Source organism: Homo sapiens, chromosome 3 (genome assembly GCF_000001405.40).
Source record: "Homo sapiens chromosome 3, GRCh38.p14 Primary Assembly".
In the NCBI taxonomy this organism is placed as follows: Eukaryota; Metazoa; Chordata; class Mammalia; order Primates; family Hominidae; genus Homo; species Homo sapiens.
In genome coordinates, this window is record NC_000003.12 from 181,084,038 (window position 1) to 181,110,876 (window position 26,839).

Genomic DNA, 26,839 nt, shown 5'->3' on the forward strand with positions numbered 1-26,839 from the left:
ATTTGGACTGTAGCTTTTGTAAGATCTGGTTACCACTTCACCCTTACTAATAGAGGGTAATTCTGCAGGAGTGTTTTCTGTATAGGAAACTCAGAAACTAAATTATAAATGGAGGGTTTCATGGAAATATTAAGGATTTCTAGGCTATGTGTTTTTAAGTATGCACTTATTTACCTAAGGATTATCCAAGGCCAATATTGAATTTGAAGTTGGACTCTCCCAGCCTCTGAAAGGCTTCTGAGAATTTCTCCCCTCCCACCAAGTTGCTTACATTTTCCGAATAGATATTAAGTCTAATATTAGACTCCAGAAACAAAATTGAGAAGGTAAAACTACAACCAAGGATGCTAAATAATAATGTAAATTTCTGGCATTAAATATGAATGATATATATATTATATGTGACACAGTACAACTGTGGACATAATTAAGAACATTCAAATTTTTACCATGTCAGGGTGAATTTTACAGAACTGCCATAATCATCGCCTCTCCTTTTTCACACACACTTGTGCTGCTGTTGAGGGATGGAGGGGCCTTATTCACCCAGAAATGCTCTAGGTGCCCTCCCAGTCATATGCGCCGCATCAAGGTTCTTGGGAATCAACAGGAAGTAAGTCATAGGAATCAATACAGGAGTCTGTATTGAAGTCTGAAACCTGGGTTCTAATCCTGGCTCTGCTTCTAATTATTTGGATAGTCTTGTTAATTCATTTAGCTTTTAAAAAAATACACTTTTAAAAATAGCAGCTTTAGTTCCACAGCAAAATTGAGATGAAGATACAGAGATTTTCCATATATTCCCTGGCCCCACACATGCACAGCCTCTCCTACTATCAACATCTCCACTAGAGTAGTACATTTGTCATAGTTAACCAACCTACATTGACACATCATAATCACCTAAACTCTGTAATTGACATTTGGGTTCACTATAGGTGTACATTCTGTGTGTTTGGTTATGTATACTGCCGTGTATCCAGCATTACAGTATATAGTGCAGTTTCCCTGCCCTAAAAATCCTTTGTGTTCTGCCTCTTCATCCCTCTCTCCCCTTCCCAAACTCTGGCAACCACTGGTCTTTTTTACTGTCTCCATAGTTTTGCCTATTTCAGAATGTCAAATCATTTAGCTTTAAAAAGTTTTGTAGGACTCAATATTTTCATCTATAAGTGAGGCCAATGATTTCCATCCTACCTTCCCCGGCTGGTAGTTGGTAGTACCAAGCATGAAATGTGAAAATGCTTCACAGTCAGTACAATTCTGTGTAAATACTGTTGCCACCACGATGCCATGATGTCACTGGTATTTCAGAGGAGGAGACATTTTTTTTTTCTAGTAGCTCTTTAAATGCTTGTACTCAGTTGTGTGAGAAAAGGAAATTTTCAGAAAAATTAGCCTGGTGGTTTGCCATTGGTTTGTTTCAAAGTTAGTAGTATTTGTTCTGTTATCCTTTAGTTTTTCTTTGAAACAAGTCCTGATCACTCGTTAATGATCTCTTGTAGTATTTTGGTGGCAAATTTACCTAGTTTTGTGGGGTTTGACTTAGAATAGCCTTTTGGTAGGCTCTCAAAACTGTTATGATTGCTTCCAAAGGCTACTCTCCCTACAGGACCTGATTCAAAACTCCCTGTGTGCTAATGGGACCTGACATCCACGTCACAGGAAGTCTCTCCTCCCCACTAGACAAACTCAATCATGTAGGTCAGAACTTCCTAATTTGAGTGGGCATCAGCATCACCTGGAGGGCCTGTTAAAACACTGATTGCTGGGCACCACCTAACTATTCCCATTTCAGTATGTCTGGGGTGCAGGTCCAAGAATTTGTGTTTCTAATGGGTTCCCTGCTGGTATTGATGCTGTTGGCTCACAACCTGGGGAGGGTTTCTTAAAGTGTTTCAAAGGACTGCCTTGTTCAGAAACTCCTGGAGCCAATGTGAAGCCTGGATTTCACTAGGGTTATAAATTTGGGGCTTGGAAGAAGATATTGTAGACATATGACATTAATGAAGTTCTCTGACCTATTTGAGTGGACAGTTTGACAGTTTCACATTGTGTGATCCAGGGAAGTCACACTGTGAGCTTAGTGACCTTGCCTCGTCACCACACCCCTAAGGTGGTGACACAGGACTGTTTGAGGCTGGAAGAGATCATGGACACGAGAGGCCCGTGTAAACATGGGGGTGCTTCTCCAGGACTGGGTGTTCCTGTTTCTAACAAATGTTATTATGGGACTGAAGGGGAGAGCCGAGTTCAGGGCCATCCACAGGGAACGCAGAGCTGTCAGTCACTTCCTTACAGAAACAGAACAATACACACTGTTTATTTCTCTTCAGTCTGTGGGATTTTTTTCAACATCGATTTTACACATCTGGTTCTGAGAAGAATCCATACTGTTACCATTCACCTGGCCACCCTAACTGTAACATTTCAGTGTTTGGGGAATTCTAACAACTGAAATCAATGGCTTTTTTGATCCAGCAGATTCTTCCATCTTCTTAATCTTGCTGCATCCCCCTCTCACTTGGCAGACTCTGCCTGAGCCCTCACACTGCTGCTTCCTTCACATCAGTGGACTTTCCAGCCTCTTCTCTTCACACTGGCCCTTTAAGAAGACATTTAAAGCAATTATTCAGTTCAGTTTCGTTATATTCTGCTCTCAGAGCTACTGTAATAGCGTACTTGAAAGAAGCTGGTTGTGTTGAATTTTGTGTTTGCTTTCCAGTTACCGGAATGGCACCTTCACCCCTTCTCATCTCTGCTCATTTTATTATTTACCTGAATGATTTTTCTGTTTCAAGAAAGCAAGTGGAACATGAAAGGCCAAATATTTCTGTCTGTTCAGTTCAAGAATTTTTCAGTCAATGGTCTACTGTTTTAAAGTATCATTGCAAAGAAAATTGAGACCATTAATCTTCTCTAAAACATCTTTTGTGTTCTAATAAACATATTTTTCCATTTCTTAGTACTTTACAATTCTGATTGCTTTTGATTATATATTTGTAGAGATATTTTTTTCTGAAAAGTAAAAAGCCGTTAAATATATTTATTTTCCTCTTTCTTAAGGAAGTCTCTGATATAGTCACACCCACACATGAATGAATGAACAATTGGGAATGACTGTCCCAGCTGGGACGCCACTGGAATTTTCTTACCTTTCCAATTTCCTTTCCTTGATAGTGCCCTTCCCACTCACCACTGTAGACCCAAAAGCTATTTGTGGAGCTTTCCCAACCAAGGGGAGACGAGCTCCTGCTTCCTGATCTAACTTTAATGCAGTCCAGGGCAAGATTTGATAAAGGGATGGAGGGGTAGTCAGCCTGATAGTAGCAAAGAAGAAGGAAAGAGGAGGTGGTCCGAAAGACCATTCAATGGTCTTTCCACTTACTGCTGCTTTGGTTCCAGCATCATCTTATTCTGAGCCTCTCCTATGTCTACTAAGTCCTCATTCTGGAAGCTCCTGCTCCAGCACTTACCATAATACAGGACACCTGGTGCTTTGTGTACTCACTGCAAAGAAACTGTTACTCCATTCATGGCCTATCAATGGTACCTAAGTAGTCTATATCTTTATAGCTTTAGATCACCATGGTGGTCTTCAGAAAGTTCATGGACCTACTGAAACAAACAAGGACTTGTTTGAATATTCATTTGTGTTTTCCTGGGAAGACAGTCCACAGCTTTCATCAGATTCTTATAGAGCCATATGACCCAAAGATATTTTAAAAGATGAAGAAGTAACTACTGATGTGGTAGTAGAAGGCCTGGAGACAGTGTGCAACAATAAATATTTATTGAGCACCTGCAATATGCCAGGTACTGTTCTAGACTCTTGATATATCTATGAACAACAACAAAAACCCCCTCCCAAATCCTTACTTCATGAAGTTTACGTTGCAGTGGGTAGAGAAAGACAACAAACCATATACACAATACTTCACACACAATATCGGAGAGTATAAGTGCCATAGGAAAATAAAGCAGAGTGAGGGGGATCAGGGATGAGGTGGGGGAGAACTGTGATTTCAGGGTAGACCTCATTGAGAAAGTGACATTTTAGTAAAATCCCGAAGAGGGAAGGAATCAGGTGGCCATATGAGGGAAGAATGTACCAGGCAGAGGGAACAGCTAGTACAATAACTTTAGGGTGGGAGCAAGCCTGGTGTGTTCAGAGTGGTGGGGTGGAGTGAGTGAGACAGAGGGGCAGGCAGTGAGTCAGAGGGTATGTGGAGTGGGTGCGTGGATGAATCCGGGTCTCATATGCCTCTGTGCGCGACTCTGGGAGCCCCTTGAAGAACTTTAAGCAGAGGAGAGATATGACCTGACTTAGGGTAGATTCGGATCACTCTGATGTGTTAAAAACAGACTAGGGGTTAAGGGCAGGAGCAGGGAGACTAGGCTGCTTTGCAGTCATCCCGGGAAGACAGGATGATACAGCATGGACAGAATGGTCACAGAGGAGTCCTGGGGGCTGGGTAGATTTTGAATATATTTGGAAGTAGATCCAACAAGTTTGCTGAGAGGTCAGATGTGAATTGTCAGAGAAAGAGAGAGCCAAGGATGACTCTAAGACTTTCGGCCTGAACAACTAAAAGGATGGAATTAATGGGAAAAACTAGGGATTTTAGGTCAGACAGGACATGGATCTCAGTTCTGCCATTTACTGGCTACATTGTGACCTGACTTATGGGCAAGTAACTTAACCTTTCTGAATCTCAATGTTTTATTTGCAAACTAGGGACAATCATTCCTATCTTGTAACAATGCTATGAGGAGTTAATGTGCTTGGGGTATGGTCCATTGAACAGATGCTAATCTCTTTCCACAATTTTCTTTTAGTGAATGAAGGAGGGAAGAAAGGAGAGACAGAGAAAATATGGGTGAGTAGTGTCTCCATCTGAGATTTTTTTCTCAGTAAGATCATGTCTTTTTGGCTCCATTGTCTAAATATGTTTTATGGTATCCGAGGATTTATCTTTCCATCAGCCCCATGTTTTCTCCTGCCAGGTTCCTGGGGATACTAACTTAGGGTTCAATTTATTATCTTTGACACGTTATTTTATTATTTATCTTAAAATATGTTTTTATAGTGAAGAAGAAATTCTCACCTGATACTATCCATTATCCATGCATACTGTTCACAAACAGGCATAGCCAATAAGTTTATTGGGCTTCATTGATGAGGCTATTGGTGTATTAAACATTTTATGTCAGGTAGAAATTCCTGTTGAGTTATTACATAGCCATTTAAGAATGTTTTACTGATATTTGGTATGATTAGTGAGGATTTTTTATGGGTTGGCATGATTATTATTTTTCTTGTTTAAGACACTGAAATATGGTCTACCACTATCTGATTACCAGTTACCAAACATGCTTGCAGGAGTAGCTAGATTTGGGATAACAAAGTATGCCAAGATTGGGAATTCAACAACTGAAGGAGGAGTGAGTATGAACTGATTGGGTTATAAGAATACATGCTTCTTCTTTGATTCAAAATCCCTCAATCCAAGGCATTTCAATGTTTCTGAAATTAGAGTATGTTTTATCACCTATATATATATATATTTAACATGATAACATTTCTGTTAGGGTTTTTGGTAGATTCCAGATTCCTTCTCTACCCCAATTCAAAACCAACTGAAAAATAAAACAAAAAATATTGCAGATAGAGAATAAATCTGCCAGTGTTATCAGCAATAGATTGGCTTAGTTTGAGTATTCTAAGCAGTAACAATTTCCTAGGTTCTTAGGTTGATGCCTCCTACTGATCTGGATGGAGAAAAAAGCAGAATGAAATTTAATCTTCCCTGCTTGGGACTTGGCTTAATTTGCTTTACTAAATTGAGATTTGTTGTCCACTGGCTCCAGTCTCCCAACTGGCTAGCTAACTCCACCTCCAGGGTGTGAAAGGAGAGGCTGGTCCCAATCCAGGAGTATTGAATTTTTCCTCGCTAGTGTTATAGGTGCCACAGAGTCACTCTGAGTCCTTAAGAGAATGTGATGGCACCTCCCCTTTGATAGGGATGTGGCTTAGTGTCTCCTGGAGGCCCTGAGGTTAGCCAATTTTTTTATGGTAGGGGGGATGGTTAGGTAGGGGCTTTGTTTTCTAGGAAAGGGAATGTGATTCCTAATATTTTATGTTTTGAGTATCTGAAAAGAGATATTGTCTGTAAAGAGGCTCTGGAAGAGAAGATGGGAATGAATGAGTACTAGATTTTTCCTTTCTGCTTTTGGAAATCTAGGCTCAGTGCCAAGACATACTTACTAGGAGATGAAACATATCTCCAGTGGTATAATTATTTAGCACATGACACTTATAAGGAGATCATAGGAACCTGTATGCATATAGTCTGGGGGAGGGATCTGTGGTTAAAAGGGTAGGTAGGGGAAAATGTAAAGATATATGCATAGTTTAGCATTTACTTATTTATTTATTAATTTTTACTTTATTTTCAGGAGTACATGTGCAGGTTTGTTATATAGGTAAATTGTGTGTCATGGGGATTTGGTGTACAAAATATTTTATCACCAGGGTAATAAACATAATATCTGATAAGTAGTTTTTCAATCCTCACCCCACTCTCACCCTTTACCATTAAGTAGGCCCTGGTGTCTGTGTACTCAATGTTTAGATCCCACTTATAAGGAACAATATGAGGTGTTTAGTTTTCTGTTCCTGCGTTAGTTCACTTAGAAAAATGGCCTCCAGCTCCATCCATGTTGCTGCAAAAGACATGATCTCATTCTTTTTCATGGCTGTGTAGCATTCCATGGCATATATGTACCACATTTTCTTTACCCAGTCTACCATTGATGGGTATCTATGTCGATTTTATGTCTTTGCTATTGTGAATAGTGTGGTGATGAACATATGGGTGTATGTGTCTTTATGGTAAAATGATCTATATTTCTTTGGGTATATATCCAATAATGGGATTTCTGGATTGAATGGTAGTTCTATTTTAAGTTATTTGAGAAATTACCAAACTGCTTTCCACAGTGGCTGAACTAACTTACATTCCCACCAGCTGTGTATGAGCATTCCCTTTTTTCTACAACCTCACCAGCATCTGTTATTTTTTGACTTATTAAAAATAGCCATCCTGACTGGTATGAGATGGTATCTCATTGTGGTTTTAATTTGCATTTCTCTGATGGTTAGTGATGTTGAACATTTTTTCATATGCTTGTTGGCTGCATGTGTGTCTTCTTTTGGAAAATGTCTTTTTATGTCCTTTGTCCACTTTTTAATGGTGCTGTTTGTTTTTTGCTTAATTTGTTTACATTCTTTATGGATTCTGGATATTAGACCTTTGCCAGATGCATATATGCAAATACTCCCTCACATTCTGTGAGAGATATTTCTCCCCTCTGAGAGATATTTCTTTCATTCTGTCTGTTTACTCTGTTGATAGTTTCTTTTGCTGTGTGGAAGCTCTTTAGTTTAATTAGGTTTCATTCGTTAGTTTTTGTTTTTGTTGCAATTGCTTTTATTGTCTTCTTCATGAAATCGTTGCCAGTGCCTATGTCCAGGATGGTATTTCCTAGGTTATGTTCCAGGGTTTTTATAGTTTTAGGTTTTACATTCATGTCTTTAACCCATCTTAAGTTGATTTTTATATATGGTGTAAGGGAAGAGTCCAGTTTCAATCTTCTGCATGTGGCTAGCCAGTTATCCCAGCACCATTTATTGAATAGGGAATCTTTCCCATTGCTTATTTTTGTTAACATTGTTGAAGATCAGATGGCTGTAGGAGTGCAGCATTGTTTCTGGGCTCTCTATTCTGTTCCATTGGTCTATGTGTCTATTTTTGTACCAGTACCATGCTGTTTTGGTTACAGTAGTTTTGTAGTATAGTTTGAGGTTGGGTGATGTGATGCCTCCAGCTTTGTTCATTTTCCTTAGGATTGCCTTGAGTATTTAGGCTCTTTTTTGGTTCCATATGAATTTTAAAATAGTATTTTCTAATTCTGTGAAGGATGTCTTTGGTAGTTTGATAGAAATAGCATTGAATCTGTAGATTGCTTTGGGAAATATGGCCATTTTAACAATATTGATTATTTCTATCCATAAGCATAGAATTTTTTTTTTAATTTGTGTCATCTGTGATTTCTTTGAGCAGTGTTTTGTAATTCTCATTGTAGAGCTCTTCACCTCTCTGGTTAGCTGTATTCCTAGGTATTTTGTTCTTTTTGTGGCTATTGTGAATGAGATTGTGTTCTCGATGTGGCTCTCAGCTTGGATGTTGTTGGTGCATAGAAGTGCAACTGATTTTTCTACATTGATTTTGTATCCTAAAACCTTGCGGAAGTTGTTTATCAGATCTAGGAGCTTTTGAGCAGAGTCTATCGGGTTTTCTAGGTATAATTTTTTTTTTTTTGCATTCAAAATACAGTTGTGAACAGATACGGCTTGATTATTTTTACTCCTTTTTAAAACAGGAAAAAAATTCAAGCAGTACAAAAGAGAATAAAAATATCTGCCTTCAAGCTCTTTCTCTGAAAGTTCCCCTCTCAGGTGGAATCACTATTACCTTTAATCACTGTTAGGTTTTTGTGAATCCTTCCAGAGATATTTGTGCATAACAAATATTTTGTTTGTTTTACACAAAAGGATAAGTGTTAAAGATGCTTCTAGAATAATACATTGGGTGGTCCTTATTAACCTTATAAGCATTTATGATACATGACCTCAATATAAGCTCCCCATGTGGTACTTGATGATAAGAAAAAAACTTTTTATTACGGATACAGTTACAAAACTTAAAATCTGCTAAAGAGAAAATAATTTAAGAATAATGGATATTGAAAGGGCCATCACTTGTACCAGTGTGTTTTGAAGCACATATTTTACATTTGTTTTTCCTACAGTGTCTCTGTGATATGCTTTCCTGGTTACCAGGTAATAGACAAAATGAGAATAAAACTCCCTGGAGAACTGAAATGGAATTGTGTGTTATTGCAGATTTTCTCCACAGATGGCATTCATTGTCACCAGTTTCCTTAGGGCAATTTGGAAACTCAGAGGCCCTGAATATAAGAGATAATATATATTTACTGGGTAGCTGGTACTTTCCTCTAAGTATGTCTTTATCTACTTATAATTATGGTATACTGTCTTCTAAAAACTGAATTTGGAAGGTAAATGATAGAGTTAATTTATTAGAAATATGCAACAAATGTATAAATGTATAAATTCTGGCAGGAGTGCTGTGAGAAAGAGGTATAAAGACAGTGATATTTTTGAAAAATGAGACCTTGTTCTTAAGAGCAAGTCAAAACACAAGTCTCACAACTCTACATTCCGTATTTTTTGGTTAAAAAAATTTCCCAACCATAACAACAAAAAGCAGGTAGGAGCTGGGTGCAGTGGCTCATGCCTGTAATCCTAGCACTTTGGGAGGCTGAGGTGGGGAGATCACGAGGTCAGGAGATAGAGACCATCCTGGCTAACACTGTGAAACCCCGTCTCTGCTAAAAAATACAAAAAAAAAATTAGCCGGGCATGGTGGTGGGCACCTGTAGTCCCAGCTACTCAGGAGGCTGAGGCAGGAGAATGGCGTGAACCCAGGAGGCGGAGCTTGCAGTGAGCTGAGATCATGCCACTGCACTCCAGCCTGGGCGACAGAGCGAGACTCCATCTCAACAACGACAAAAAAGCAGGTAGGAGTGGGGAAGTCGCTTGGAGAAATGGAAAATGCTCTGCAGTAGAAATAGACTTGAATTGTTTTCCCAGCTTTCCTTGCACATGTACATCCTTGATCTTGACCAGTTTTTCAATCTCTTCAGGTGTCAGCTTTTCTTTATTTGTCAGGCTGAGTAGTAATCTCTCATGTTCTTTCAAAATCCAACATTCTATCATCTTAGGAAGGAACTTCAAATAATTCATTCTCTCTTCATCTCAATAAAAACTGCATTTGACATTGAGATTCTTGTTCGATAATCTATTAGGTCAAGATTGTTAATTGTATTCTTCAAATCCTTCATATTCCTTATATCCCTTCTAATTTAATGTCTGCTTGTTCTATCAACTATTGATAGAGGTGTGTTAAAATCTCTCACTATGATTGTAGGTTTTTCCACTTCTCTTTTCAGTTCTTTGTACGTATTTAAGCTAGGTTGTTAAGTTTATGCAAATGTTCAATTGTTTAATCTTCTTGGTGAATTAAAACTTTATATATGAAATGTGTCTCCTCACCTCCAGTAATGACTTTTGCGTTAAAGTCTGCTGAACTGACTGATTTGGGGATATATTAATGTATAAGATATATCAATTTTGGGGCTCACATTTTTGCATGGCATTTATTTTTTCATACTTGTACTTTCATTGTTTCTATATTCTTATGTATAAGATGTGCCTTTGTAAGTAGTTTATGTTTTTGTCCATTTCTGCTTCTATAACAAAATATCTCACACTGGGCAACTTAGAGAGAACAGAAATTTATTTTCTTATGATACTGGAGGCTGGAAAGTCGAAGGTCAAGGCACCGGTAGATTTATTTCTGGTTAGGGCTGCTTTCTGCTTCCAAGAAAGCACATAGTGGAATTGGCAAATGGTGTGTCCTCATGTGACAGAATCAAAAAGGCAAAAGGGGCCACTTAGTTTCCTCAAGTCCTTTTATATGGATACTAATCCCATTCATGAGGGGAAAGCCTACATGAGTTAATCACACTCTAAAAGCCTCACCTTCTAATAGTATCACATTGGATCTTACGTTCCAACATGTGAATTTGGAGGGACACGTATATTCAAAACATAACAGCTTATGTTTGTGTGTTTTTGGAAGTCTGCTCTGACGTTTTTTAATTGAATGATTTAGTTCATTTACATTTATTCTAATTAGAGGTCTAATTAAGTTTCTATCTTACTATGTGTTTTCTATTTGTATCATGTACTAAGTACTATATATACTAAGCTAGTGTTAATTCTTTTTTTGTGCCTCTTTTTTATTGAGTATTTTAAATTATTTTTACCTTTATTATATTAGTAGTTATACATACTTTTACTCCCCTTTAATGTTAAATGTAGCTATTATAACATGCAACTTTGATTTACTAAAGTCTAATATAAGTTTTGCTTTTACCACTTTCTTGGCAATGCAAGGATCTTAGTATATTTTAACTCCATTAAACCTTCTTTCAACTTACCATTTTCATTGTTATGGTTTATGTTTTATACCTCTGCACTTCAATCTGGGACCTTTTATTAGCCTAAAGAATACATTTCAGTATTTCTATTTTTAAAAGTTTGCTGGTGGTGACTCAATTTTGTCTGTCAAAATCTCATTTTTCACTTTAATTCTTAAAGGATAGTTTGCTGACTATAGACCTCTAGACTGGTCGTCAATTTTCTCAATTTCCACAAAGTTTGGACAAAAAGTAGCTGGTTTAAGTTGTAACAGGAAAGTTAAGGAAAGGTTCTTGTTATAGAAATTATTGACCATGATGCAGAATGTCTTACATCATATTCTACAGACTTTTAGTTCCATGAGCTTCCCTAAGAAAAAAAGGACTCCATAACCTCATAATCTCATGGAAACATGCAACCTCTGTCTCACTTGTTGGAATTCACTGTGCATTTTAGACCTTGAAGAGGCTGCTGTTATGAAATCCATTTAACTTTGTTATTCAGCATTCCACAAAAATATTTGATTAGGAAGCTATTGTTCTGGGTAAACACTAATAAATATTTCAAGCATCTGGTGATATAAACTGTGCATTTTGGGAATGCTTCTTTAAGGGCTTAAGGACTCTACAGCTCTGGGGTGCAAATAAGAATTCCTTACTGTGTGAGGGTTTTGTTGTTGTTGTTGTTTGTTTGTTTGTTTGTTTTTAAAGTTTAAGCTATTCTTTGTCATCTGAATACTTTAAAATCTGTTGTTCCAGTTTCTGGCTATGGATAAAGTCTTCCATGGAATTCAGTTTCATGATTGCTGTCACAAGATAGCATGACTAGTAAATACAACCAGTTCTGATGCAACTAGGTAAAGCCCTTATAAATTCAGATTTGCATTCACTTAAAGACATTCATAATCTGTGCAGAGAGGGGCATCTTGATAACCCTCATGTCACATTTTTTTGTAAAATAAATAAACAGGAAATTATATTTACTGTACTGTGAGGACTTCATTAATTCAGGAAGGGCATGGGGGAGACAGTAAATCAACTTTATCTAAAAATCTGGTGGGATTTATTTATAAAACAATATATTGCTTCCTGAATTTTTTTTTTTTTTTTTGCTCAGACACCTGTGACCCTTTCATTTAAGTCTTCATGCAAAATGGGACATTTTCCTATCATCTTGCTCTGCTTCCCTTTCTGTCTTCAAGCCCAGCTGGCAGTAAGGTCTGATACTAGAAATTACCACTAAAAACACCCCAAACCTGTTGTATCCATCAGATCCTATAGAGAAAGCAGAGAATCTCAGACTAGATGTACATGGACAGTGTTGCTGGTGACCTTGAGTGATTAGAGGATCTAAGAAATGGCTTTAGGCACCTCAACCAACAAAAGAGCTGCCTCATATGTCAAAATGTGCCAGTGTGGCAGCCAGTAGCTTCCAGGCTCTCTTCTTTCCTTGAGAATTTTCAAGGAACTCAGGAAGCAAGCCCTTGTTGCAATCCCCTTCTTATCTTTAATGCTGCACACATACAGCTCTGACACGCATTATATTATTAGTTCCTACTTTCTCAATTTTAATTAAAAACAGAAATGAACTATTTTAATCTACCGTTTTTAAGAGTCAGCATTATTGCATGTGATTATCCACTGAAATGGGGTTGGCACAGAAAAATAATGATATTTAAAATATTATCTCTACTGTTTTAGCTTGCTCTCCCAGCAAATCTTAATTTACTCCAAAAATCTCTTTACATGTGATCCTAAATAAATAGGCATTTATCTAGTAGATCAGGAATCTAGATGTTAACCTTTCAAGTGTTATTTGAGCTGTCTTCTGTCATCATAAACCTTAAAATCTTTTGGCATTTACAACTGTACAGTTTTTTTAAAATCCCACATACAAATAAGATAGTTTATAAGTAGAGTGGTTATCAGGCTCTGTGTTTTGCCCAGGAGAGTCCTAGTTTATCCCTACTGTCCTAGGCCAAACATGAATAGTAACCTCTTTCACTTTCAGAAGTGTCTTGGTATGGAGAATAAGTTATATGGTTACCCTGTTTAAAATACGATTTAATCCAATTATAGGAATTATTATGAAACAAAGAATTAGTCATTTTGGTACTTAAGGAAAATGGTTGTTTTTGATTCATCCATAAACACTTTCAACTAAGTCCATGGTTCTGATTGCACATCAGAATCACATTTATACCACTCATAGACCAATTGCATACAAATCTCTGGGGGTGGGGAACAGGCATCAGTTTTTTAAAAAGCGTCACAGAGAATTCCAATATGCAGTTAAAATTAAGAACCACTGGATTATATAGCTTGTACATTTAAACTGGCTTTTTGGGGGGATTATTCAAAGATGTTTTAAATAATTTTTTTTAGACAGCATGCCTATCTAATTTTCTAATTAATTAAATTAGAAACTTGTTAAGTATGTACAATAGACCAAATCAATAAATGCTTTTGAAGCAACTACTGTAAGTAATTGACCAAATGCCTTAGTGGCCAATTTCATCACAAAGATCATTCTAAAAATTTAGCTATTTTTGGTTTCTTGGTTTTTTGCTAACTTTCTGCTAATAGTTAAATAAACATTTAGTGGTGAATGTGTATGTTGGAACTCTGCTTATAAATGGTTGATGCAGTTTCTCGGTTAATATAGATAAAAGGCAATTCCACAGATGAATATTGTCTTGAGAATTGTTAAAGTAACTCATAGGAAATTCAGGGATATCTGGTGCTTCAGAAGATTCTGTAGAGAAATAAACAGTGATGCATCAAACATCTTAGTCCATTTGGGGATGCTATAATAAAGAACCTTAGACTGGGTAATTTATAAAGAACAGAAATTTATTGCTTAAAGTACTGGAGACTGAGAAGTCCAAAATCAAGGCATTGATTCTGTGTCTGGCAAGGGCTTGCTCTCTGCTTTAAAGATGGTACCTTCTTGCTTCATTCTCATGTAGCAAAAGGCGCAAAGGTAGAGCCCTCATGACCTGATACCCACAAAAGGCTCCAACTTTTAATACTATCACATTGAATATTAGGTTCTGACATATGAATTTGGGGAAGACACCAACATTTATAGTGTAACACTGAACATTCATCATAGTGTAAGATTTGTTAGCCCATAGGAATGGGAGCTACAAAATTACAAAGGGTTTAGGGGTGTCTTACTGTGGGGGACAAACAATAGCACGAAAACTTTCATCTAGATATTTCCTAAAAGGTACCAAGAAAAGACAGGTCCTCAGGATGGACCTTGCAGTGAGTTAAAGAAATTCTGTGCTTCTAGTCGCCATACAAACTTGTTACATTCTTCAGAAGAAAGGGAGAGTCTTCAATATTAAGTTTTTACTGTTTAAAATAACTCTTTACTATTTAAAAATGATTTTGTTAAGCTTATGATTAATTCATAGCCCCTGTAAGTCACTACTTTTATTCTGGATGTGTTTAACATATTAGGGCTTCATTTTATTTTGATTTAAAGACTGACATCTTCTCTTTACTCTACTCAATTATTATACTTTGAAGAAACTGACACATTACACGAAGTTCTCCATAAAGAAGTCAAGGTCGGTTTGTTCTACAATTTTTTTAGAGTAGATGATGTTCTATAATAAAATTTCCTCTGAGATCTTAAGGTGAAAGTGTTGAGCTATATTAAGATTACATGACTTCAAAAAGACACAGAGTAAGCATTTGAAAGATCTCAAAACTGAAGATAATGTACCATATGTTAGAAGGAATTTATCTCAATTCAAATATGCTTTTAAAAATATAGAAATTAATTTCTTTGAAGAATTTGTTTTAGCAAAAGATGCTTTTGGAAGATCAGTTTCACCCAAAGAATATATGAATAAGCTGATTTTAGCCTATTTCACTTGTGACCTGTTATTCATATAATCAAATACATAGGCCTAAGGATGACTTACTGGGCCCTGAGATTTTGAAAATGAATGTGTTGAAAAATAAAAAAAAATTCTAGGACAGTGGTTCTCAAAGTGTGGTTGCTGGGCCAGCAGCATTGGGATTACCTGGGAACTTATTACAAATGCAAATTCTTGATCCTCAACCAAGACCTCCTCAGTCATATCTCTGGTATTGTGCCTAGCAATCTCTTTTAATGAGGCTCTAGGTGATCCTGACGCATCCTAAAATTTTAGATTTCTAGGGATTGAACTGTGAGGTTAGTGAGATAAGGAGGAAATTATTTGGTAAAGCTAGATGATGTGGAATCTTGACTAGTTTTACTGTGTCTCTTTAAGAATTCATTTGTAGAATGCATTTTAAAGACTGTATGTGCCCATGGATGGTTATAATTGCTTATTGTTATTGAACAATGGGATAATTTTTATGAGCAAATTTACATGTAACTTATGTGCATCTGCTTCATCTTGCTTAATTTCTTTCTTATTTCTCTCAATGAATAAATGCAGTTTACATTTTAACAATAAATATCTAGCCAACAGCTGATCCTTTGAATATCTCTTTTGCTTCTATTTAAGTTATATGGATATTTATAAGTTTTTTTAATATAAAGTTTTATTGAATAGCTCATTTCTTAGATAAACCCTCACTACACTGAGCAGTAGTTTTCTGTGATTTTTTTTTTTACTTCTAATATGAGATTTTCCTAGATACATAATAAATTTACATAAACATACATGTATATTTTATGTAAATATACTTTAAAAATATACAGTGTCTAGCACATAGGAAGCATATCACCCAACAAAACAGACAAAGCTCTTGCCCCTATGGCCTTACTTTCTAGCAAATATCACATAATATAAATCAAATTTAAAAGTGAAAGTCATAAGAAATACTTAAACTGATGACCTTTATTTTATTGTGATAGACCCTCGTAGTACAGTTTCCATGTGTCATCTGGAATTATTTATCTATTAGTTATAAAGGTGACATTGTCAATAATCTATCTTTGAGGATCTATCTGAATCTCTTATCTGAGTTCCTACCTGTAGTCTTTGGCCCCATGTATCCAGTAACTGTCCTCTGCTTCTTTGATCAGTATTTTTAACTATAAGTTCAGCAATGGTAGACTCAAAAGGATTCAAATAATTTACAATAGAAATGCCATCTGAGTGCAGCCATTTTTGTCTAGGGCTTTTCTGTGATTTATGTGTCAGGACCAGGGAGAAGAAATGATTAATAAATATGTAGATGCTTAGGGAGATGAAGAGAAGATCTACAGCACTTAATAACTTAATCTTCTCAAGGATGGGCTCTTTGTCCATATAGAAATTGTGATTTTTGTGGCCTTTAAAATTCCTGCTTTCACATTATGAAAGTGATAACGTGATTTTGTTTTCAAAGAATACTCACTGCCTATCCTGGAGTTTCATGTGATTGTTCATCTGCATATGGTGGATCTAGTGAGCACCTGTGGTCTTTTTGAGTCCCCAAGGCCCCATCCCACCTGTGTCTTTTCAAGCACCCCCTTGAATATTTCAAAGGAAATCCACCATTAATTGCAGGATATGGAGAAATTCTTCCATTATTACTGTATTTGAAATTATTGTTTTACTCAATTCCAAATACTTTGGTTACATTCTCCCTCCCCCATAATCCTAGCATTATGAATATTTCTTATGCACACTACTTTTGATCAGTGTATTCATGGTATATAATTGTCTTCAGGGAAGTTGAACAGAGACCCTTGTGGGTGAAGACTGTACAGAGATACCCATATGGGTGAGGACTGTACAGTCTTTTTGTACAGAGACTGTACAGAGATGATCTATACAATAGTGAGTATGGGGTGAAGAGCCCTTTTGACAAAGGTAGCACCTGAGCCAGCCTGGATGGAGGATAGTGGCTGGGAAAAAATTTCCTTAACTGGAATGTTCCAAAGTAAAGGGAATTGTTTTCCAGCAATATAGTCCATAAGAAAGGGAAAACTGGATTAACTTGTCCAGCTTGAGCCCTTTGAGAGCCTTAAGTCCTTGGGACAAGCAGGAAGCTAGTCCTAAACAGTGCCTCAAACCAGGTAGGCAGGAGAGTCTCCTTCCACAGGTTTTTACTTAGATAACCCAACAAAGTGAACTATAAGAACCACAGGAGTTAAGTACTCAATTCATTTTCCAGCTGGATGTGTACCTGGGGGAAAGAGGCTCTCAATGACCCAGTGCAAGTGGCAAGTCTATATTTTTGTATTTTACTTAAACTCTTCTATATTATCATTTGGGTGTGGATTTGTATAAGTATCACCTTACTAATGAGGATTTTGAAATTTCACTGATGGAAATTCCTTTTGGTAGCAGAGTTCCTAAACCAGTAGATTTGGCTTTTTCCCATGTCAGCTGGATTCCAAGGTAGGGAGCTACTCTTGGGCAGACCCATTTCCCACTCCTGTTCCCGGGTCCTTGTGTAGCCTTGGATAAGAAGCTGGCTAAGGATGGGTGAGGACAACATAGAGTTAATAATTCATGGACACCTAGTGTCTGCATTCGGGAATAGATGGGAGAATGGATGCCTTTCTTCAGCTCCCTCAGTTCCTTGGGATGACAGGTGGTTGGCTGTTAGGCCCTTTGCTGGCAACTTCTTTCTAATCATATGTACTTTCTACTCCATCCTCCTGCTGACATTTTCACCTGCCTGCAGAAACCACAATTAAGGATTTTATAATATTTTGTAGTTATAAGAGGATGAGATTCTTTACAACTTGCCTATTGTTTAATTTTTCAGAAATCCAACCTTTGACCACCTTCTTTGTAACATACATATAAACCTATAGGATGGCCTATATAATAGTATGTATATGTTTAACATCACACAAGATAGCTTCAAGGGGGACTGAGATTCATTTTATATTGATACAATCTGTAAGAGAACTATTTTACAATTACTTGCTTAATAGGAAAAAATCTGTAAATAAGGAAATAATTTTAATTTTGGTTCTGAAATGTAAACAAAGTTTCTGTGAGTTGTATGCAGTTGTAACAGGATTCTGAGTATTGCAGAGTTGTAGGATACCTTTAGAGCTAGAAGTAAACTCAGAGATCACCTAAGCCAATCATCTCATTTTTCGTAATATAAATTTTGGCTGTGATTAATATCTTTCTAAATACCGGTAAGAAAACAAACCCAAAATGAACATATGGCTCATAAGTTCAATCGTATAATTTCTCTGAAATATTCACCTGTTAGAGTAAATTGAACACTGAGTAGTATTTAGTATTTATCATATATTCTATAATGTTAGCTATTTTAAAGTATGTCCTTTAATCCTTCCTGAACAAAGTGTTGTTTTTTCTTTGTTTTTTTTTGTTTTTTTTTTTTTAAAAGATAGGATCTTTCTCTCTACATTCATGCTGGAGTGCAGTGGCCTGGTCATAACTCTCTGTGTCCTTGAACTCCTGGGCTCAAGTGTTCCTCCCACCTCCATCTCCTGAGCAGCTGGGACTACAGGGGTGCAACACCTTGCCTGGCTATATTTATTATTATTTACATTTTTTTGGTAGAGACAGAGTCTCACAATGTTGCCCATGCTGGTCTTGAATTCTTGGCCTCAAGCAATCCTCCTGCCTTGGTCTCCAAAAATGCTGGGATTACAGGTGTGAGCCATTGCACCCAGCCCAAACCAAATTATTTATTTATTTATTATTTTTTTTTTGAGACGGAGTCTCTCTCTGTCGCCCAGGCTGGAGTGCAGTGGCGCGATCTCGGCTCACTGCAAGCTCTGCCTCCCGGGTTCACGCCATTCTCCTGCCTCAGCCTCCCAAGTAGCTGGGACTACAGGCGCCCGCCACTACGCCCGGCTAATTTTTTATATTTTTAGTAGAGATGGGGTTTCACCGTGTTAGCCAGGATGGTCTCGATCTGCTGACCTCGTGATCCACCCACCTCGGCCTCCCAAAGTGCTGGGATCCTGGCCCAAACCAAATTTTATTATCTCAGTTTTACAGTCTAATCTCTGAGCTGTACTCATTTAGATATGTTTGGAAACAACTTACTCTGGTTTACAAGGTACACAACTAGAAATATAGGCAATCCCTACATGTAAAAAGTCATAATCCAAAACTATTTGAATTCAGAAAGCAATTCCTTATGGGAACAATGTTAGAAGTGTCGGTTAAATTCCCAGTTTAGCCTCCAAAATTCCAAATTTTTCCACTTGTATCTAGTTGCAGTTCTGCGCATTTACGGCAGATTTAGAAAGCAACCTGTTGCCATCCAAATACTTAGTGAGAGATTATTTGTTTTAAATTTTGGTGCCTGAGTAAATTTGGGGATGATGAGGCAGTAGAGGGTAATGTCTGCTGAAACTTCTGTTGTTAGAATTTCTTTGTGTCTTTTATCTCATAGCTTTTCTTTTCTTTGATGCAAATGTGTAATTGGTATACTTTTCTTATGCTTATTTGCTATAATTAGGCTGGTGTGTTTATTTTTCTCAAATTGAACAGAGAATGTAGGAAGAGAAAGATAAATTTATATGAGATAAAAGGGCAAGAATTAGAAAAGAGTTAGGAAAGGAAATGTAAAAAGGTTGCTGCCTGAGATAATTTGAAGGGGAGAAGTGTTTAGAGGAGAGTGGATTATTTGTCTTTGAAGAAGAGTCAAGGAAGTGGTGAGGGGAGAGACATGGTCTTTAACACATTTGTAAACTAACCACCAGGTGGTGCCATCATCTAAGGACAGCTTAGTTGCTTTTCAGGATGTGCTGAAAGCTTGCTGTGGGTGCAAAAGTTACACAGAGTGGAAAGAGTGAGGCAGGGACCTTACAGCTTCCTGTTCATATGTAAGTTGTGAAAACCCTATAAGAAGAAGCCTAGTCAGTGTTTATTAAATTAGTGAGTGATGACTTATCAGCAAGTATTAATATTTTACCAAATTCAATTAAAAATGTTTTTAAAATTTCTTTAAATTTTTGTTCTTCTCTTTAAAAGAGGCTTCACTGTTTTAGTTATCAATATATAAGTAAAATTAAAAATTTGTAGTCTCTGTAATTGTTTTCATAGAATTGTTATTTTTATGTGACTTTCTGCACAGCTTTTAAAAAGTGGCTTCATATCTAGAGAATCCTTTCGTGAAAGTTTGGGACACCATGCAAAAAGAACAGAAAAGAAAACTGGGGAAAGATTAGTGATCACAAGGTGAAGGGAACACAAATTTTGAGACTCAATCAGACTCAATCAAATTTTGAGAAACACCAGTTTTTTTAGGGACGAAATAGATATAGTTAAAAATGTGATTGTTGGTGGTAACATTTGCACTTAAAACTACTGAGACTTGGGAAAAACGTGAGATGTTTACAAACTAATATGAGGCAAATGGGGATTTTCCCAAAGTGAAACAGAAGACTGGATAGATCTTGACTATCCATTCTATCCTATTTTAAATGGAAAAATAAAAGTACTTGTTTGGTAATCTCTAAAAGTTTTTATTAGAATATTTAGAATGTATATGCCTATTTTTACTGTAATTGGTGTGAGACCATATGAAAATAAGATATAGAGATAAAATAATTTATTTTTGTTAGTAATTTTGTGATGTGGAGTTTAAATTTGGGGAATGTTAATTTTCTAGCATTAATCTAACACTGAATCTGTTTTTCAAGTCAATAGGTAAATAGCAATTATACTTAGAAAATGATAACAAAGAACTTTCAACAAAGGAAATAAAAAGCTTTGTTAGCATGAAGAACTAAGTTTGTAGTTACTTGCCCAGACAAAGGATGAACCCTCATTTAGGTTTCTATTGATTGCAGAGTAGCCCATCAATAAAAGAAGCTTTTCTAAGGAAGATAATATGACAGCAGGAAAAACATAATTTTGCGCCTCTAACCTCAAACTCCATCCACATTAGTGGCAGTTCTTTAAAAAAAAAAAGCAACCCCAGGTATTCCCATTGCTTTGCAACTAGTGTATTTCTTAAGAGTATTATGAGGAAGAAAAATGCCTCTGGGAAATGAGAAAGCTACGTGGTGTCCAAACTTGAACTTTCTGCTAGATCTCATGCCCATATTTGCCTTTGCCTACTGGGTGTCTTCACTTGGAATTTGCACATGCATCTTTGAATTGTTATGTCTGAGACATTTCTTATCACCAAGGAGTTTTCCAGCGGATATTCTGATTATAATGATTTATTTTTTAGTTTCTTGTTTGGATTGTGCTCTGTACACTTCCTCCTTCTTCTTTAAACTATCGCCTACCCCATCCCCACCTCCCCCCAGCCCACCTTGGGTTGCCATGTCTGGGTTTACATGATCCTGTGCTATGCTCTATTTCTGCCATTACAGCTCTTATCACACCATTTGCTTGTTAATATCGCCCACTGGAATGTAAGCTGTGTGATAGGGGGCCAAATTTACTTTATCAATTGCTGCATCATTAGCAACTACCCATGCCTGGTATATGTTAAATCAATAATATTTGTTGAATAAAACAGACCAAAAACTTCATATTTTTGGCAAAGAATTGGCATAAACAGCACAGGAGATACAAAAGGCGGATGGGATTAATCTTGCTGCACCACCAGCCCCTCACTGCCAATAGAGGAGAATGAGGGTGGGTTGGGTGGAGGCAGATGAAGAGTGAGAGGTGGGAGGTGATGGTGGTAGTGGAGACAGATGACACAGAAAATCAGCTTCTTCCTGGTGAGTAATGGAGCTTTCCCCGACAACCTCCCCCCACCCCTTTCTCTTCCTATTCTCTCTAGTTCTAATTATCACCAGCTGGAGCCACTTAATCCTAACAGTTTACATGTTACTAAAGCATCTGTGAGAATGCAGTGCAGGCTTCAGCTAGCACCAAAACAATTTTTTTTTCTGATTTCGCTTGCTATACCTTTACCTCTTAGAATTTATTAATCTGAGGGATGGGAAAAACGACACAAATTACATTATTTATTAGAGATACGAGTCTGTCTCCTTGTGGCACATCCCCGAAACTGGTCTCATCTGGGCTCATCCTGAATTGCATTTAATGCAGCATCACTATTTAATTTATGGATTTAAGTTCCAAAAAGTTAAGGACAAAAATAAATGTGCATCAAGGACAAAAACAAATGTGCAACAACAAAAAAATATGCATCAAGATGCCTGTCTATCCATTCTCCTGAAAGAAACCAAAAGCGGGCTTATGAGGACCAAATTCATGTGAAAAAGCCATTTCGTGAATTAGGGAGATAGTGTTCAACTTGTAGATTTTGACATTTGGATATTTAAGACTTTGGAAGACATTGGAAATTAGTTGATTTGCCCATCATCTTTGAACACATAGAACTACTTTTGTGCCTACTCAGCCCTTCCTCTCCCTGGAGTGCCTCCTCGACATGCTTTGCCTGGGTATCTTCTGTGTGAACTGTGAGACTTATCTCAGCAATCACTTGAGCAGTCTATCCCTGCTGTCTGCAGACATTTCTTTAGCACTGTGACCACTGCTGTTCCCCCAACACTCCCATGCTCTGTTTTCATGGCAACATATGTCTCTTCAACCAGTTCTCCTCAGAAACTCTGGAATCTTTCAGAAAACAGTCTGAGAAATTCTCTCTACTTGATGAGTCAGGCAGTGCTGACCCTTCTCACAGAATTTATCATCAATGCCCAAAGAGAGTAGAGCTTGACTCGCTTCCTTCTGTTCTATGCATTCTAGTTCCCTTTTAAATGTTGCACTAGCCCCAGCCTCAGCCGCAGCCCTCTTTAGTATTAAGATGGTGTCTATTGGCCAGGTGCAGTGGCTCATGCCTGTAATCCCAGGGCTTTGAGAGGCCCAAGGGGGGACTTGAGGCCAGGAGTTTGAGACCAGCCTAGCCAACATGGCAAAACCACATCTCTACCAAAAATACAACAAAATTAGCTGGGCGTACTGGCACACGACAATAGTCTCAGCTGCTCAGGAGGCTGAGGCATGAGAATCATTTGAACCCAGGAGGCGGAGGTTGCAGTGAGCTGAGATCCCACCACTGCACTCCGGCCTGGGTGACAAAGCTAGATTCCATCTCCAAAAAAAAAAAAAAAAAAAAAAAGATGGTGTCTGTTGAGCACAGTGTGTCTCAGTGAGTGGGCTCATGGACTTTCCTTCTGAGAGAAAACTCAACAAGCTTTTATGACCTGAATGTTTGTGTCCCAACAAATTCATATGTTGAAGTCCTACCCCGCAGTGTGATGGTATTTGGAGGTAGGGCCTTTAGGAGGTGATTGGGTTTAGGTGAGGGTAAGCCCTCAAGATGGGATTAATGTTCTTATAAGAAGAGGAACAGACCAGAACACATAGAACTACTTTGCAAAGTAGTTCTTTGCCAGGTGAGGACATGGAGAGAGGTGGTCATCTGAAAGCCAGGAAGAGGGCCCTCACCAGGAGCCAAACTGGTTGGTACCTTGATCTTAGACTTTATAGCCTTCAAATCTGTGAAAAATAAATATCTATCGTTTAAGCCACCCAGTCTATGACATATTGTTATAGCGGCCTGCGCTAAGACACAAGCCAAAGCTCACTTTTATACAGCATTGGAGCACTGCCTCCAGGGCCGGCTAGCCCAGGTTGGAATGCCAGTTCCTCTCTGTACAACTGTAAGACTTAGGGGAAGTTTCCTAACTTGTATGTGTCTCAGTTTCCCATCTGTAAAATGGGATTGATAATTATATCTATCTATAGTTGTTATGAGGAATAAATGAGTTAATCCATATAAAGCACTCAAAACAGTACAGGGCACAGTAAGGGCTCAACACATGTTAACCTCATTATATATGTTAACGTACAGCTGAACTTGGCGCACCGCTGATTCTGATGAATGTGATCATCATCACTCGCTCCTGGCCTTCTGCGGTTCTTGCAACTCTGTTGACATTCCTGCATCCTGGGATATACAACACATACTCAACCATAAACCCTACGAGCCTGTTGTCTTGTGGAGGAAGCAGCCGAGCAGCACAGCTCTGGGATAGATCTCTCTTCCTCCCACATCTCTCTGAACACTTCTTTCCTTCGTATCCTCCCACAGGCCCACAATTTAAAAATTCTTATTTCTCCCAGAATACTAGAAAAGTGGTTGAAAGCACATGGGTCCCAGCTACTGTTCTAAAATTCACATCTAATTATGCCACTTACCGTTTGAAAACACCTTTGATACTTTCTCATCTCCCATGGGATAAAATATGAACTTTCTAGAATGACTTTCATGTATCTTTCCTTATTTTGTAGTCCTGCCATCTCATGGCATTCCTTCCCATTGCCCTTCATTCTCATACTTGCACACCTCTTAACTTTGTTACCTCCATGTCTTCTGCACCCTCTCCCCTCTACTAAGTTCTTTTCTTTGCCTGGTAATCTCTTACTGTCCTTGAAGATTCAGCTCAAAGTTCCCCTTTTGGCTGAGTGTAGTGGCTCACGCCTGTAATCTCAACACTTTGGGAAGCCGAGGTGGGTGGATCACTTGAGGTCAGGAGTTCGAGACCAGCCTGGTCAACACGGTGAAACCCCATCTCTACTAAAATACAAAAATTAGCTGGGCATGGTAGTGGGCGCTTGTAATCCCAGCTATGCTACTTGGGAGGCTGAGGCAGGAGAATCACTTGAACCCGGGAGGTAGAGGTTGCAGTGAGCTGAAATTGTGCCACTGCACTCCAGCCTGGGTGACAGGGCGAGACTCCATCTCAAAAAAAAAAAAAAAAAAAAAAAGTCCACTTTCATGCTTTCTTTGACATTCTTAGCTGTTCACTTGTCTAATACAATTTTTACACCTACTTCTTCCTGGTTAGGGATCTCCAGTAAGAGAGAACTCCATTTAAAAGTTGTCTGCAGTGTCCTCTGTATGGGAGGAGATAGCATGGGAGGAGATAGATATGCTCTCTCCTTTGGAGTACAGAGTCATGTATTCAGCTGTCCCCTTGACACCTCCACTTGGCTGACCCAAAGGCAATTCACAGTTGATGTGTTCCTCACAGATTTCCAACCAAGACCTGATCTTCCTTAGTCTCTCCTATTTCAGTGAATGATCCTACTATCCATCTAGTTATATAAATTAGAAACTCCAGAGTCAGTCTTAATACATCCTCTTATTATTATTATATGTAATTATAAATAATTATAGATTATTTTTGTTCTGTGAAAAATTATTCAAGAAGCTCTTTTTAATTATATTTTGGGGGCTGAACTTGTTTGTAGCTGCTGCGAGGAATGGTTTTGAATCTTTTCCTAGAGAGAAGTATGTATACCTTTCTTTCTCTCCTATACATTACCGTGTGGCTATATTATTAAATTAACTATATTTTGCTCAATTAGTAAGTGGATTTTAGGGGTGAGTGAAATGATTTCTCTCTGTGTTAAATTGGTAAAATTCCATGTGAAAAGCACTGTTGTATGAAGGCTTTTTCCTAAGTACAAACCTATAATATTAGCTTGTTATTGTGTTGTACAGTTCCCTCCTATAATTGTGGGTGTGAAGTTTGCATTTTACTGTTTGTGTTTTATTTACTCTACTGTGGAGATGTTCTTGGCCACACATTTCTAAATCCCTTAGGTTTCCCACTTTATGGCTTTTTGACAACCAATTTGGGGTTTGTAAGATATGATATATAATTTATAATGAAGTCGAACATGTGTTCATCTCTATTTTTATTTCAATTATAGTTATCAAGAATCACAAAAATGTACATTGATAAAGTACTATACCATCAGCAAAGATTTTTATAACAAGATGTGGAACTTCAAACAGGAGTTATATGACACAGTATAATAAATGGTGGCATCGTTTTTTTGAAATGTGAAAGCCAGATCTTTTATATGCTGTATTTTCTAGACTACTACTGGGTCCTCCCAAAAAAAGAAGGGCTGGGGAGGTGAAAAGTAAACATTTTAAGTTCTGAAAATTATTATAGTAAAAATGGAAACTACTTAGATAAGATATCTAAGATAAAAAGGCAAAAGGATAAATTTATTTTAGGGGGAGGCTCTAATTCCCATTTCACCATTTGGCTTAATGTCATGGGTGACAACGTCTACCCTATTGTGAGGCTAGATGCAAAAGAATGTTTTCTTTGACAAAAATGTTCAAAATTAAGTTATTGGAGTTGGGGGAGTCTCATTGAAAAAGCATTTGTGAATTTTATCACGGAAGGATATTTGGTCATCTTCTCATTCAGCTTTTGGAAAGATCTGGTAAGGAGGAAGGACCTGAACGGATCCACATCCTGAAGAATTTGCCATACACAGAAGGAAGAAAGGAAAACATATTGAGTAGGGAGATAAAGGAAGGGTATAATATATAGACAAAGTGTAGAGGTAAATACTCATCATTCAGGCTTGGAGGATGGCAAGTAGACCAGTTTGATTGGCCTAGAGATGTTTGGAATTTGACTGTTTACCTGTAAGAGTGGTGGGAGAAGTTGAGACCAGATTGTGAAGTAACCAGAATAGTACCAATATCAAATGTTTATATCTTACTCTGTAGAAAGGAGGGAGGCATTGTTCTTGGAGGGAAGAGATGGTGTCTTAGGACTTTTTCCCTCTGCTGTTTTTAACACAGTACCTGGTACACTGAAGGCATTCAGTAATACCCGAATAGAATGAATGAGTAAAGAGGAGTAGCTTCCATGACTCATAAGTTTCTATCTCCAACGTAGATCTCTCCTTTGGAGTACAGAGTCATGTATTCAGCTGTCCCCTTGACACCTTCACTTGGCTGACCCAAAGGCAATTCACAGTTGATGTGTTCCTCACAGATTTCCAACCAAGACCTGATCTTC

At 37.7% G+C, this 26,839-nt stretch overlaps 1 long non-coding RNA gene across 2 annotated transcripts in view; it reads left to right on the forward strand.

Moving 5' to 3' along the window:
• SOX2-OT (SOX2 overlapping transcript) overlaps nucleotides 1–26,839 on the forward strand; it is a 685,549-nt gene that overhangs the window by 27,358 nt on the left and 631,352 nt on the right. For both annotated transcript variants that reach the window (NR_075091.1, NR_075092.1), the window contains exon 2: nucleotides 4,840–4,880. This is a non-coding gene — a long non-coding RNA (SOX2 overlapping transcript). The remainder of the gene's footprint in view (nucleotides 1–4,839; nucleotides 4,881–26,839) is intronic.